Source organism: Homo sapiens, chromosome 1 (assembly GCF_000001405.40).
Source record: "Homo sapiens chromosome 1, GRCh38.p14 Primary Assembly".
Lineage (NCBI taxonomy): Eukaryota > Metazoa > Chordata > Mammalia > Primates > Hominidae > Homo > Homo sapiens.
This window is the reverse complement of record NC_000001.11, coordinates 45,076,446-45,091,388: the sequence shown is the minus strand read 5'-3', so window position 1 is coordinate 45,091,388 and position 14,943 is coordinate 45,076,446. Positions and strand designations below refer to the sequence as shown.

The window sequence follows — 14,943 nt, the reverse complement described above, 5'->3', positions numbered from 1 at the left end:
CACCTTTAGACTCAGGGGCTTAGTAACTAGGCTTTTCCACATTGACATTACTATTTAGTTTGAAATTTTAATGTAGCCCTTCTGTGAGGGTCTTTGTATCAGGATTCAAGTCATTTCTCAACAATGTACTACATACTTCTGAATGGCCCGAGGGAAATTAAGAATGTACTTTCTTAGCACCTAGTTTTCAACCACTGTGAAACTTGGCCATTGGGGAAGTTGTCTCTTATCCCCTTTACATGGAGAGCCATTAATAATAATTGCATTAAAACATTAGTAATACATCTGTAGGACATTTTATAGTTTTACAGAGTACTTTTGAGAGGTAAGCAGAGCAAGTATTATTATACCTACTTAGAAGATATCTAAGGCTCAGAGTTGTAAAGTGGGTGGCCCAAGACTCCATAGTAAATATCAGGTTCTAGCTGCCTAATTCCTAGTGTAATGTGCTCTTTGCTATATATTACTCTGCTGGCAATGTCTGGTGGGTATAGGTCTGGAGAGGAGCTGCTTCCCAACCCTACAGTTCTCTTCTTTAGTTCTTTTTTTTTTTCTTTTTCTTAAAGAGACAGGGTCTCACCCCGTGTCCCAGGCTAGAGTGCAGTGGCACCATCATAGCTATCTAGCAACCTCAAACTCCTGGACCCAAGCATTCCTCCCACCTCAGTCCTGAAGTAGCTAGGACTACAAGTGTGTGCCACCACACCCAGCTTGCTTATTTATTTACTTATTTTATTTTATTTTTATTTTATTTTATTTTACCTTACTGTGCAGTCAGGTCACAAATTTTTTTGATTTTTTGTAGATATGGGGTTTTGCTATGTTGCTGAGGCTGGTCTTGAACTCCTAGCCTCGAGCAATCCTCCCACCTTGGTCTCCGAAAGTGCTGGGATTACAGCACCTGAGCCATGTTGCCCAGCTTTCTTAGTTCTTAAGTGAAGGTAGTCTTTACCTGTAATTAATCTTTACCTATAATTAATTTGAATGTAACTTTTTGATTTTGCTTTAAACAAATGATAGTAAATATTTTTAAACCTGCAGCTTGTTTTGCTGAGAAAAAACCTCTGTGGGGTTTAACCAAACCTGGAGGCTATGAAGTTAGTGAATTTATTTTTATCTTTTTCTTGCTCTGGAAATTAATCTGAATGTTTTCAGTAATGTGTACCTTTCTTTGGATTAGACCTAAATGTGGCTTTATGTGATAATTTCGCTAGGTTTTATGAGCGTACTTGTAAATTTGGGTCTTATTTTAATTAACCATAACTGTCTGAAACTTGAATCTTGTAAAGTTTTCTCTGCATTTGTTAATTCTGCCAGGTCACAATGATGGCTCTGAAACTTATATATGTACCTTTTATTACTTGACAAATATTTCTCCAACAGATATAAGATTATTTAAAATAGCTTTCCTGTTCACAGTGTGTAGTCCAGATAAACAGGAAAGTCTGTGAAATTAGCCTCACCTTTGTTCCTGTCTCTACTATAACATTTGGCACATCATATTGTAATCATTTACTTATATGTGTAGCTGGGACTACAGGCACGTGCCACCATACCGGCTACTTTTTTTTTATTTTGTGTAGAGACAGGGTCTCACTGTGTTGCCCAGGCTGGTCTCCCAACTCCTGGCCTCAAGTAATCCTCTCACCTGCACCTCTTGAGCCATTGGGATTACATATGTGAGCCACCGCACTAAGCATGTCTGTGGGTTTTGATAAGAACTTTGTTGTGGCACCTTTTAGAGGTAATGAAATATAATGAAAAGAAAATTAACATTGAAGTCAGTCAGACCTCCTGGTTCCAAATCTCAGGTCTGTCACATTTGCTAGTGCCTTGGGCAAATTACTTAAACTTTCTGAACCTCAGTTTACATACCTTTAAGGAAAATAGTACTGATTTTATAAGGTTGCTGTGATAAATTATTAAAAGTACCCAAAACAGTTCTGCTACATAGCAGATGCTTCACAAATATCTTCTTTTTTTGTTAGCATCCCTAGGCCTAGCAGTTCAATACTTAAGGTCTCATTAAACTTTTGTTGAATGACTTAATGATTAGATGAATACATACTCTTTTCAAAGAAGAAGAATCATATTTAAAGTAAAGAATAGCCAGGCATGGTGGCTCACGCCTGTAATCCCAGCACTTTGGGAGGCTGAGCCAAAGCGGATTGCTTGAGCCCTGGAGTTCAAGACCAGCCTGGGCAACATGGTAAAACCCCGTCTGCACTAAAAATACAAAAATGAGTCACTGTGCCTGGCTCGTTTTTCATTAGCCTTTCCTTTATTTTCCTGTATTTTTGCACTTGAGGCTGAGAGTGGGAGGATCACTTGAGCCCAGGAGACAGAGGCCGAAGTGAGCCAAGATTGCACCACTGCACTCCAGCCTCGGTGGCAGAGCAAGACCCCAGAGATAAAAATAATAATAAAGCATAATTAATATTATAGAATTGATTTGCTATTGATTTTATCTTTTAATTTTGTTACGTTAAAAATGGGTTCTCCCTACATTTCAAAATTATTGTTACTGTGTGCCTAGTGAGTAGAGGTGTAACACTACATAGTTTCATTGCACCTAGCTGTGCCTTTCATGTCTTAAATTTCTTGCCTTTTATGTATTCCACGTGAAATTTTATGTTTTAAAGAAGAATTATTTTCCTTAGTCTTCTTTGATCTTCCTTCTGTCCTTCCTCATGGCATTTTGGATTCTCTTTCATTTGTGACATCTACCTTACTCTAGATTATACAGATATTATTTGTAGACTTGTCTTTGCCTACCACCTAGAGCTGAAAATCTACTACAGGGGTCCTTAACTTATTTAGGATTCCTTATTAGTCTTTCTGAGACTATGATGATAGCTATGAACTATCCCCACCCCCAGAAAAATGTATACACGTACAAACTAAAGTTTTCATATCAGTGTGAGTTCAGGAGGTTCACGAACTCCAGGGTGAGGACTCTTTCTATATTGTGTGTTTCTTCAGAGCAGTAACTGAATTTCATTGACCTCTGTGTCTGTGGCAAAGCCTATCATGTACGTGTGTAGGAGATACCCAATACATAATTTATGAATTGATGAATTTACATGTAAAATGAGAATCTAAGTTTATTACTCTAGAATCTCTAAACACAGTTTCTTTTGTGTTTCCTTAGGCTTTCATCTGAGTGGCACAGTAACTGAGCTGGCCACTGCCTCTGAACCAGCAGTGACTTATAAAGTTGCAATCAGTTTTGATCGATGCAAAATCACCTCAGTGACATGTGGCTGTGGGAACAAGGACATATTCTACTGTGCCCATGTGGTAGCACTCTCACTCTACAGGATCCGTAAACCAGACCAAGTCAAATTGCGTCTTCCTATCTCCGAAACCCTTTTCCAGATGAATAGGGACCAGCTACAAAAGTTTATTCAATATTTAATCACGGCACACCACACTGAAGTTCTTCCTACTGCACAGAAACTGGCAGATGAGATTCTATCCTCCAACTCAGAAATCAACCAAGTGAATGGTAATTGTACAACTTTTTTATTGAAAAAAAAGGTCTTTTTCATCACCACTGTCACCAAAGCAACCCTCTTACCTCTACTTTGTTGCTTTATTGCATGTTAAGAGGTTGGGATATTTCTGCAGTTGCAATCACTTAACTTTAATCATTTCATTCTATCCAAACAACTGTGTTTAACTCTAAGTTTCTTAAAACAGTCCAACTGTGTATCTCAAAAAGATTTTGGTGAAAAAGAACAGAGAATGATAGTATTATATATTGGTCTAGTTTATGGACTTTGTCGATGCAGACCCTGTCCCTAGGAGCCTGAAGTGTTAAAACAGTAAAAGAAAGCACAAAATAATTTGTATCATTCAGTGAATTGAGATGGATATGAGAATTCCCTTGATATTTCAGGACCCTACATTAGCATCAGAGTTATCCTAAGGAGCATGTGTTAGCATTGTGCTTATGAACTATATATTGGGGGTGCATTAATGGAGAAAGAGTTTATGTTCACTCATTCATTCAACAAATATTTATTAAGTACCATGTGCAGGGAATAGTGCTGATTGTTGAGGGTCTAAAACAGACATGGTTCTTAAAGTAGCTTATAACCTAGTAGCAACAACAGACAGGTCTGAAACAAATGCTTGTTTTTATAATGAAACCAGATTGTAGAAGCCTAATCATAGAAAACCATTGAAAATTTTAAAGAAGGGGCCAGGCACAGTGGCTCACGCCTGTGATCCCAGCACTTTGGGAGGTCAAGGTGGGTGGATCACTTGAGGTCAGGAGTTCAAGACCAGCCTAGTGAACATGGTGAAACCCTGTCTCTATTAAAAATACAAAAATCATCCAGGCATGATGGTGCATGCCTGTAATCCCAGCTACTTTGGAGGCTGAGGCGGGAGAATTGCTTGAACCTGGGAGGTGGAGGCTGCAGTGAGCCGAGATCACGCCACTGCACTCCAGCCTGGGTGACAGAGCAAGATTCCATCTCAAAAAAAAAAAAAAAAAAAATTTAAGAAGAAGAGTTAATAAGCCAGTTTTCATTTTGCTTTTTAGATCCCACTGTGTTCCAAGCATCATGCAAAGGACTTTATTATTTTTTTTATTTTTTATTATACTTTAAGTTCTGGGGTACATGTGCACGAGGTGTAGGTTTGTTACATAGGTATACATGTGCCATGTTGGTTTGCTGCACCCATTAACTCATCATTTACATTAGGTATTTCTCCTAATGCTATCCTTCCCCTGCCCTCCACCCCGCGACAGCCCCCGGGGTGTGATGTTCCCCGCCCTGTGTCCAAGTGTTCTCATTGTTCAATTCCCACCTATGAGTGAGAACATGCAGTGTTTTGTTCTCCATCCACAGAGGACTTTATATATATTAATTCATTTAGGTTTCAAAACTACTTTGTGGGGTATAATAATTTCTACTTTATAAATAAGGAAGTTATTTATAACCTAGGTTCATTTGACATAAGAATTTTTTGAATTTCTCTAAAGTTTTTTGAGTTTCCCTAAACTACCTTTCTCTTTTGGATGATAACTGATACAGTTTGGATTTGTGTCCCTGCTCAAATGTCATATCCAGTTGTAATCTCCCATGTTGGAGGAGGGGCCTTGTGGGAGGTGAATGGATCATGGGGGCAGATTTCCCCCTCTCTGTTCTCCTGATAATGAGTGAGTTTTCACAAGATCCAGTTACTGAAAAGTGTGTAAGCACCTGCCCCTTCTCTCTCTTCCTCCGGCTCCAGCCATGTAAAATGTGCCTGCTTCCCTTTTGCCTTCCACCATGATTGTAATGTTCCTGAGGCCTCCCAAGCCATGCTTCCTGTACAGCCTGCAGAACCATGAGCCAATTAAACCTCTTTTTTAAAAATAAATTACCGATTCTCAGGTATTTTTTTATAGCAGTGCAAGAATGTACCAATACAGAAAATTGGTACTGGGAAGTCAGGCATTGCCATAAAGATACCTGAAAATGTGGAAGCAGCTTTTGAACTGGTTAGAAAAGTGGCAGAGGTTAGAAAAGTGTAGAGGGCTTAGAAGAAGACAGGAGGATGAAGGAAAGTTTGGAGCTTCCTAGAGACTTGTTAAATTGTTGTGACCAAAATGCTGATAGTGATATTGACAATGAAGTCCAGGCTGAGATGGTCTCAGATGAAGATGGGGTGCTTTTTGGGAACTGGAGCAAAGATGTTTGAGGCATTGTGCCCCTGCCCTTGGGATCTGTGGAACTTTGAACTTGAGAGTGATGATTTGGGGCATCTGGCAGAAGAAATTTCTGTGCAGCAGTGTTGAAGATGTAGCCTGACTGCTTCTAGCAACCTCAGCTCATATTCATGAGCAAAAAAAAAAAAAAAAAAACAAACAAACTAACCTAAAACTAGAACTTATATTTAAAAGGGAAACAGAGTGTAAAAGTTTGGAAAATTTTCAGCCTGGCCGTATGGTAGAAAACAATTCCCCGTTTCAGGGGAGGAATACAAGCTGGCTGCAGAAATTTGCTTAAGTAAAGCCAAGACAATGAGGAAAATGTCTCAAAAGCATTTCAGACACCTTCATGGCAGCCCCTCCCATCACAGGCCCAGAGACCTAGGAGGGAAGAATGGTTTCATAGGCCAGGCCCAGGGCTCCGCTACCCTGCTCCTTAGGACACTGCTCCCTGCATCCCAGCCACTCCAGCTCTGGCTGTGGCTAAAAGGGCCCCAGATATGTCTTAGGCCGCAGCTCCAGAGGGTGCAAGCCATAAGCCTTGGCGGCTTCCACATGGTGTTAAGCACAGAGGTCAAGAGTTGAGGCTTGGGAGCCTCTGCCTAGATTTCAGAGGATGTATGGAAATGCCTGGATGTCCAGGCAGGAGTCTGCTGCAGGGGCAGAGCCTTCATGGAGAACCTCTACTAGGGCAGTGTGGAGGGGAAATGTGGGTTGGAGCCCCCACACAGATTCCCCACTGGAGCACTGCCTACTGGAGCTGAGAAGGGGGCTACTGTCCTCCAGATCCCAGGATGGTATATCCACCAACAGCTTATACTGTGCACCTGGAAAAGCCACAGGCACTCAACACCAGCCCTTGAAAGCAGCTGTGGGAGCTGAGCTCTCAGGGGGTGGAGCTGCTCAAGGCCTTAGGTGCCTACCCATTGCATCACTGTCACGTGGATGTGAGACATGGAGCCAAAGGGGATTATTTTGGAGATTTAAGGTTTAGTGACTGCCCTGCTGGGTTTTGGACTTGGTTGGGGCCTGTAGGCCCTCTCTTTTGGCTGATTTCTCCCTTTTGAAATGGTAGGTGTATTTACCCAATGCCTATACTTCCATTGTATCTTGGAAGTAACTTGTTTTTGATTTTACCGGCTCATAAGTGGAAGAGACTTGCCTTGTCTCAGATGAGACTTTGGATGGTGGACTTTTGAGTTAATGCTGAAATGAGTTAAGACTTGGGGGACTGTTGAGAAGGGTGATTGTATTTTGCAATGTGAGAAGGATATGAGATTTAGAAGGGGCCAGGGGCAGAATGATATGGTTTGGATTTGTGTCCCCACCCAAATCTCATATTGAATTTGTAATCCCCACTGTTGGAGAAGGGCCTGATGGGAGGTGATTGGATCATTGGGGTGGATTTATCCCTTGCTGTTCTCATGATAGTGAGTGAGTTCTCATGAGATCTGGTTATTTAAAAGTGTGTAGGCCAGGCGCAGAGGCTCACACCTGTAATCTCAGTACTTTGGGAAGCCAAGGTGTGTGGATTGCTTGCACACAGGAGTTTGAGACCAGCCCGGGAAACATGGCAAAACCCTGTCTCCACAAAAAATTCAAAAATTAGCTGGGCATTGTGGTGCATCCCTGTAGTCCCTACTACTCGGGAGGCTGAGGTGGGAGGATGGCTTGAGCCCAGGAGGCAGAGATTGCAGTGAACCAAAATTGCACCGCTGCACTCCAGCCTGGTGGTAGAACCAGACTTTGTCTCAAAATAATAAATAAATATAAATAAAAGTGTGTAGCACCTCCCACTTCTCTCTCTTCCTCCTGCACCAGCCATGTAAGACATGTCTGCTTCCCGTTTGTCTTGTAAGTTTCCTGAGGCCTCCCCAGACATGTTTCCTGCACATCTTGTGGAACAGTGAGCCAATTAAACTTTTCTTTATAAATTACCCAGTTTCAGTTATTTCTTTATAGCAGTGCAAGAACAGACTAATACAATAACTTAGCTACTAGTGTGAAAGAGGCAATGAGACCAGGTGGGTGGCCTGTATAATAGAGTAGTCTACATGCCAAAGGACCTGTCTTTCCCAGTTGTTCAACAGAGCCAATCAAGTCTTACAAACAACCTCAGAAAGAACAGTCAGAGCTGGGCATGGTGGCTAACGCTTGTAATCCCAACACTTTGGGAGGTCAAGGCAAGAGGATTGCCAGAGTCCAGGAGATGAAAACAGCCTGAACAACATAGTGAGACCTCATCTCTACAAAAAAGCAAAAAATTAGCTAGGCATGGTAGTGTGCGCTTGTGGTCCCAGCTACTCAGGAAGCTGAGGCAGGAGAATTGCTTGAGCCCAGGATGTCAAGGCTGCAATGAACAGTGATCATGCTACTGTCCTCAACAGAGTAAGACTCTGTCTCAAAAAAAAAAATTAAAAGAATAAAGAAAGAACAGTCAGACAGGCTTCTAGGAACTCTTGCTCACTAGCAAAAATGTTACGTTGCTTTATACTCAAAGTTGCAGTGTTTACATAATAACTGAGCTCTCTCTATTTGAGTGATACTGTCAAAAAGTAGCTCTCCATATCTCTTCTTATCCCACACAGAGAGGCTGTTCTACGCTGACCTCCTTTTTGAGACCTGAGTTCTGCCCCCATCCCCCAGGCCTGTAGCACCAGAGAGAAGAATAGCTCTGTACCCTGACAGCTGGGCTATGGCCTGCTTTTGTGCCTCATTCCCACTATCTTTTCCCCCAGAATTATTTCCAAGCTCTCTTGCCTCTTCTTGAATTGGCTGCCTTGGTTCAGGACCTGTATTGGCCTGTCTTTTTCACCACAACTGTCACCAAAACAACCCTCTTCCCTCATTACTACTGTGCTGAAGAAACCTACATTCCTCATTACACTTCCCATTCCCATATCTTAATTTTTGTCTGAAATTAGGCTGCCACAATCAACTTGAGATGTGATTCTCAGCCTTCCCCAGGAACTACTACTTCTGTATACATGTTTATCCCATACTTATATTAGCTTTCTACAACAGGTTCCATAGTATTCTACAGGCTCTTTCCTGATCTATTTCTGTAACCAGTACTGGTATAAGCAATGATACAAAAAGGGGAGACATCACAGAGATAAAATGGACTGGACTGAAGATCCAAGTGTATTGGATGAGTGAGGACTGAATAAGAAGAAGACATAGAACTGAGTTCCAACATGTCTAGCTAGGATGGCACTGATGGTTTTGATAATGATGTTGCCATTCATTAGAGAACAAAAGAGGAGAAATGAATTTAGGAGGAAGATAGATTTAAGTTTGAGATACTTCTAGGACATTTAGATAAAGATTTCTTTTTTTTTTTTCTTTTTTTTTTTTAATTGATCATTCTTGGGTGTTTCTCACAGAGGGGGATTTGGCAGGGTCATAGGACAATAGTGGAGGGAAGGTCAGCAGATAAACAAGTGAACAAAGGTCTCTGGTTTTCCTAGGCAGAGGACCCTGCGGCCTTCCGCAGCGTTTGTGTCCCTGGGTACTTGAGATTAGGGAGTGTGATGACTCTTAATGAGCATGCTGCCTTCAAGCATCTGTTTAACAAAGCACATCTTGCATCGCCCTTAATCCATTTAACTCTGAGTGGACACAGCACATGTTTCAGAGAGCACAGGGTTGGGGATAAGGTCACAGATCAACAGGATCCCAAGGCAGAAGAATTTTTCTTAGTACAGAACAAAATGAAAAGTCTCCCATGTCTACTTCTTTCTACACAGACACGGCAACCATCCGATTTCTCAATCTTTTCCCCACCTTTCCCCCCTTTCTATTCCACAAAGCCGCCATTGTCATCCTGGCCCGTTCTCAATGAGCTGTTGGGTACACCTCCCAGACGGGGTGGTGGCCGGGCAGAGGGGCTCCTCACTTTCCAGACGATGGGTGGCCAGGCAGAGACGCTCCTCACTTCCCAGACGGGGTGGCGGCCGGGCAGAGGCTGCAATCTCGGCACTTTGGGAGGTCAAGGCAGGCGGCTGGGAGGTGGAGGTTGTAGCAAGCCGAGATCACGCCACTGCACTCCAGCCTGGGTGCCATTGAGCACTGAGTGAACCAGACTCCGTCTGCAATCCCGGCACCTCGGGAGGCCGAGGCTGGCGGATCACTCGCGGTTAGGAGCTGGAGACCAGCCCGGCCAACACAGCGAAACCCCGTCTCCACCAAAAAAATACGAAAACCAGTCAGGCGTGGCGGCGCGCGCCTGCAATTGCAGGCACTCCGCAGGCTGAGGCAGGAGAATCAGGCAGGGAGGTTGCAGTGAGCTGAGATGGCAGCAGTATAGTCCAGCTTCGGCTTGGCGTGAGAGGGAGACCGTGGAAAGAGAGGGAGAGGGAGACCATGGGGAGAGGGAGACCATGGGGAGAGGGAGACCATGGGGAGAGGGAGAGGGAGAGGGAGAGGGAGAGGGAGAGGGAGCTAGATAAAGATTTCTGATAAACAGTTGAATATATGGACCTGGAACTGAGGGAGAAAGTCAGAATTTTTGAAATAAAAAATTTTAGATAAAAATGATGTTTAAAATCATATTTCTGTTCCCTGCTAAATCTTTAAACACTTAGAACATTTTCCTTCTCCTTTCTCTTTAACCCCATTCCTCACCAAAACAAACCTAAAACAGCAGGAATAAAATTCCTAAAACTGCTAGCTGCCTGCTTTTAATCTTAAGAACAGATCCAAGCTTTGCTCTGCTCCCTACTTCCCTGAAACCATTTCTTGTATTAGTCCCTATATGTGTTTGTAGCTAGACATTGCCTTGACTTTTTTAGGTGGGTTACTCAGATTTGACTATCCTTCCAGCTCTGCCTCCAGCACTACTCTATGCCCTATTTGTGATTTGCTCTGGTAACTCCATACCCCAAGATTCTCTGGGGTACAGCATCCTGGCCAGGACTTCAGTTCCTCTTATCCAGAAAGAAAGATTGAGGAAGGAGGCAGAACAAGATGGCAGAATAGAAGGCTACACCAATTGTTCCCTACCTCCTCACATGAGGACACCAATCTAAGAACCATCTACACACAAAAAAAGTACCCACATAAGAACCAAAAATCAGGTGAGCACTCACAATATCTGGTTTTAACTTCATATTGCTAAAAGAGGCACTGAGGAAGTAGGAAAAACAGTCTTGAATCACCAGTGCCACACCTCCCCAATCGCCCAGCAGTCATAGCATGGTGTGGAAAGCATTTTGGTGCACTGGGAAAACAGAAATTGCAGCATTTCTGAGGCATTAAACTCAGTGCTGCCCTATTATAACAGAAAACAAAACCAGACCAAACTCAGCTGACACCTCCCCATAGAGGGAGCATTTAAACCAGCCCTAGCCAAAGAGGAATTGCCAGTCCCAGCAGTCCAAACTTGAGTTCCAGCAAGCCTCCCCTCTGTGGGCTAAAGTGCTCTGGGGCCTTAAATAAACTCGAAAGGCAGTCTAGGCCGCAAGGACTGCAACTCCTAGGCAAGTCCTAATGCTGAACTGGGCCCAGAGACAGTGGACTGTGGGGAGACATGTGACCTACTGAGACACCAGCTGGGGTAGCTGAGGGAGTGATGGCATCACCCTTCCCTTAACCCCAGGCAGTTCAGCTTATGGCTCCAAAAGAGACCCCGTCCCTTTGCTCGAGGAGAGGAGAGGGAAGAGTGGGGATGAGTTTGTCTTGCATCTTGGATACCAGCTCAGCCACACCAGGATAGGGCACCAGTCAGAGTCATGAAGCCCCCTTTCCAGGCCCTAGCTCCCTGTACTACATTTCTTGACACACCTTGGGCCAGAAAGGAACCTGCTGCCTTTGAAGGGAAGAAACTAGTCCTGACAGGATTCATTGCCTGCTAGCTGAAGAGCACTGGGGGCCCTGAATAACCAGCAGTGATACTCATGTACTACATTGAGAACCTTGGGTGAGACTCTGAAACTTGCTGGCTTAAGGTGAGTCTCAGGACATTCCCAGCTGTGGTGGCTATGGGGCAAGATGCCTTCCACTTGAGAAAAGTGAAAGTAAAAGCAAAGGGGACTTTGTCTTGCACCTTAGGTACCAGCTCAGCCACAGGGTCTAGAGCACCAAGTGACCTCTTGGGGTCCTTTATTCCAGGACTTGGCTCTTGGATGGCTTTTCTAGACCTGCCCTGGGCCACTGGGGAGTGCACTGCCCTGAAGGGTGAGTCGCAAGCTGGGCAGCATTCACCACAAGCTGACTGGAGAGGCCTTGGGCCTTAAATGGTAGTCTGGCGGTACTCCTCGTGGGCCTGTGGCAATGGTGGCCATGGGAGGCTCCTCTGCCTTTGGAAAGGGGCAGGAAGAGTGGAAGTGTCATGCGCGTCCATGTGAAGAGACCACCAAACAGGCTTTGTGTAAGCAACAAGGCTGTTTATTTCACCTGGGTGCAGGCGGGCTGAGTCCGAAAAGATAGTCAGTGAAGGGAGATAGGGGTGGGGCCGTTTTATAAGATTTGGGTAGGTAGTGGAAAATTACAATCAAAGGGGGTTGTTCTCTGGCTGGCAGGGGTGGGGGTCACAAGGTGCTCAATGGGGGAGCTTTTGAGCCAGGATGAGCCAGGAGAAGGAATTTCACAAGGTAATGTCATCATTTAAGGCAGGGACCGGCCATTTTCACTTCTTTTGTGGTGGAATGTCATCAGTTAAGGCAGGAACCAGCCATTTTCACTTCTTTTGTGATTCTTCACTTGCTTCGGGCCATCTGGACCTATACGTTCAGGTCACAGGGGATACGATGGCTTAGCTTGGGCTCAGAGGCCTGACAGGAAGGACTATGTCTTGTGGTTTGAGTGCCAGCTCAGCCACAGTACAATGGAACAGCAGGTGAACAGCTAAGGTTTTTTTACTCTAGTCCCTGGCTCCTGGATGGCACCTCTGGACACACCCAGAGTCTGGAGGAACCCCCCATCCTGAAGAGAAGGACACAGACCTGGCTGGCTTTGCCACCTGCTGATTGGAGCCTCAGGGCCTTGAGTGAACACAGATGGTAGCCAGGGAGTGGTTACAGCAAACCTTGGGTGAGACCTAGTTTGGTGCTGGCTTCAGATTTGACCAAGCACAGTCCTGGTGGTGGTGGCCACAAGGGTACTTATGTCACACCACTACCAGCTCCAGGTAGCTCAGAACAGAGAAAGACCCCATTAGTTTGGGAGAAACTAAGGGAAGAGAACAAGAGTCTCTGCCTGTGGTTGCCCAGAGAATTCTTCCAGATCTTGTTCTAGACCACCAAGGTAGTACCTCTATGGGTCTGCAAGAACCACAGCATTACTGGGGTTGGGGTGACCACTAAAGCAGATACAGCTTAGATCACAATACCCAAGTCCTTTCAAATATCTGGAAAGCCTTCCCAAGAAGGACAGGTGTTGCGGGAAGTCAGGGACCCCAAACGGAGGGACTGGCTGAAGCCATGACAGAAGAACTTGGATTGTGAAGATTTTATGGACATTTATTAGTTCCCCAAATTAATAGTTTTGTAATTTCTTATGCCTGTCTTTACTGCAATCTCTAAACATAAATTGTAAAGATTTCATGGACACTTATCACTTCCCCAATCAATACCCTTGTGCTTTCCTATGCCTGTCTTTGCTTTAATCTCTTAATCCTGTCAGCCAAGAAGGATGTATGTCGCCTCAGGACCCTGTGATAATTGCATTAACTGCACAGATTGTACAGCATGTGTGTTTGTACAATATGAAATCAGAGCACCTTGAAAAAAGAACAGGATAACAGCAATTGTTCAGGGAATAAGAGAGATAACCTTAAACTCTGACCGCCAGTGAGCAGGGCAGAACAGAGCCATATTTCTCTTCTTTCAAAAGCAAATGGGAGAAATATCGCTGAATTCTTTTTCTCAGCATGGAACGTCCCTGAGAAAGAGGATGTGCACCTAGGGGTAGGTCTCTGAACTGGCCCCCCCGGGGCGTACCTGTCTCTTATGGTTGAGACTGCAGGGGTGAAATAAACTCCAGTCTCCCATAGCGCTCCCAGGCTTATTAGGAAGAGGAAATTCCCACCTAATAAATTTTGGTCAGACCAGTTGATCTCAAAACCCTGTCTCCTGATAAGATGTTATCAATGACAATGGTGCCCAAAACTTCATTAGCAATTTTAATTTCGCCTCAGTCCTGTGGTCCTGTGATCTCGCCCTGCCTCCACTTGCCTTGTGATAGTCTATTACCCTGTTAAGTACTTGATGTCTGTCACCCACATCTATTCGCACACTCCCTCCCCGTTTGAAAATCCCTAATAAAAACTTGCTGGTTTTTGTGGCTTGTGGGGCATCACGGATCCTACCAACGTGTGATATCTCCCCCAGACGCCCAGCTTTAAAATTTCTCTCTTTTGTACTCTGTCCCTTTATTTCTCAAGCCAGCCGACGCTTAGGAAAATAGAAAAGAACCTACGTGATTATTGGGGCAGGTTCCCCAATAGACAGGTACAAACAAGCCCAGGCTGAGAAGACTACAACAAATACCTAACTCTTCAATGCCCAGACACTGACGAACATCTACAAGCATCAACACCATTCAGGAAAACATGACCTCATCAAATGAACTAAAGGTACCAGGAACCAATCCTGGAGAAACACAGATGTGTGACCTTTCAGAAAGAATTCAAAATAGCTGTTTTGAGGAAACTCAAAGAAATTCAAGATAACACAGAGAAGGAGTTTAGAATTCTATCAGATAAATTTAACAAAGACATTGAAATAATCCAAAAGAAGCAAAAATTCTGGAGCTGAAAAATGCAATTGGCATACAGAAGAATGCATCAGAGTCTTTTAATAGCAGAACTGATCAAGCAGAAGAAGGAATTAGTGAACTTGAAGACAGGCTATTTGAAAATTCACAGTCAGAGGAGACGAAAAAAAGAATAAAATGAGTGATACATACCTACAAGATCTAGAATATAGCTTCAAGGGACAAATCTAAGAGTTATTGGGCTTAGAGACGACGTAGAGAAAGAAACTGGAGGTAGAGAGTTTATTCAAAGGGATTATATCAGAGAATTTCCCAAACCTAGAGGAAGATATATCAATATCCAAGTACAGGTAGGTTATAGAACACCAAGCATATTTAACCCAAAGAAGACTACTTCAAGACATTTAATAATCAAACTCCCAAAGGTCAAGGATAAAGAAAGGATCCTAAAAGCAGCAAGAGAAAAAGTAACATACAATGGAGTCTGGCAGCAGACTTCTCAGTGGAAACTCTACAGGCCA

At 43.8% G+C, this 14,943-nt stretch overlaps 1 protein-coding gene across 3 annotated transcripts in view; it reads left to right on the top strand.

The window, feature by feature from the left end:
* Positions 1–14,943, top strand: part of ZSWIM5 (zinc finger SWIM-type containing 5) — a 190,207-nt gene that overhangs the window by 115,217 nt on the left and 60,047 nt on the right. For all 3 annotated transcript variants that reach the window (XM_047426192.1, NM_020883.2, XM_011541861.4), the window contains exon 2: positions 3,152–3,508. In XM_047426192.1, the coding sequence (XP_047282148.1) occupies positions 3,152–3,508 (357 nt within the window). The remainder of the gene's footprint in view (positions 1–3,151; positions 3,509–14,943) is intronic.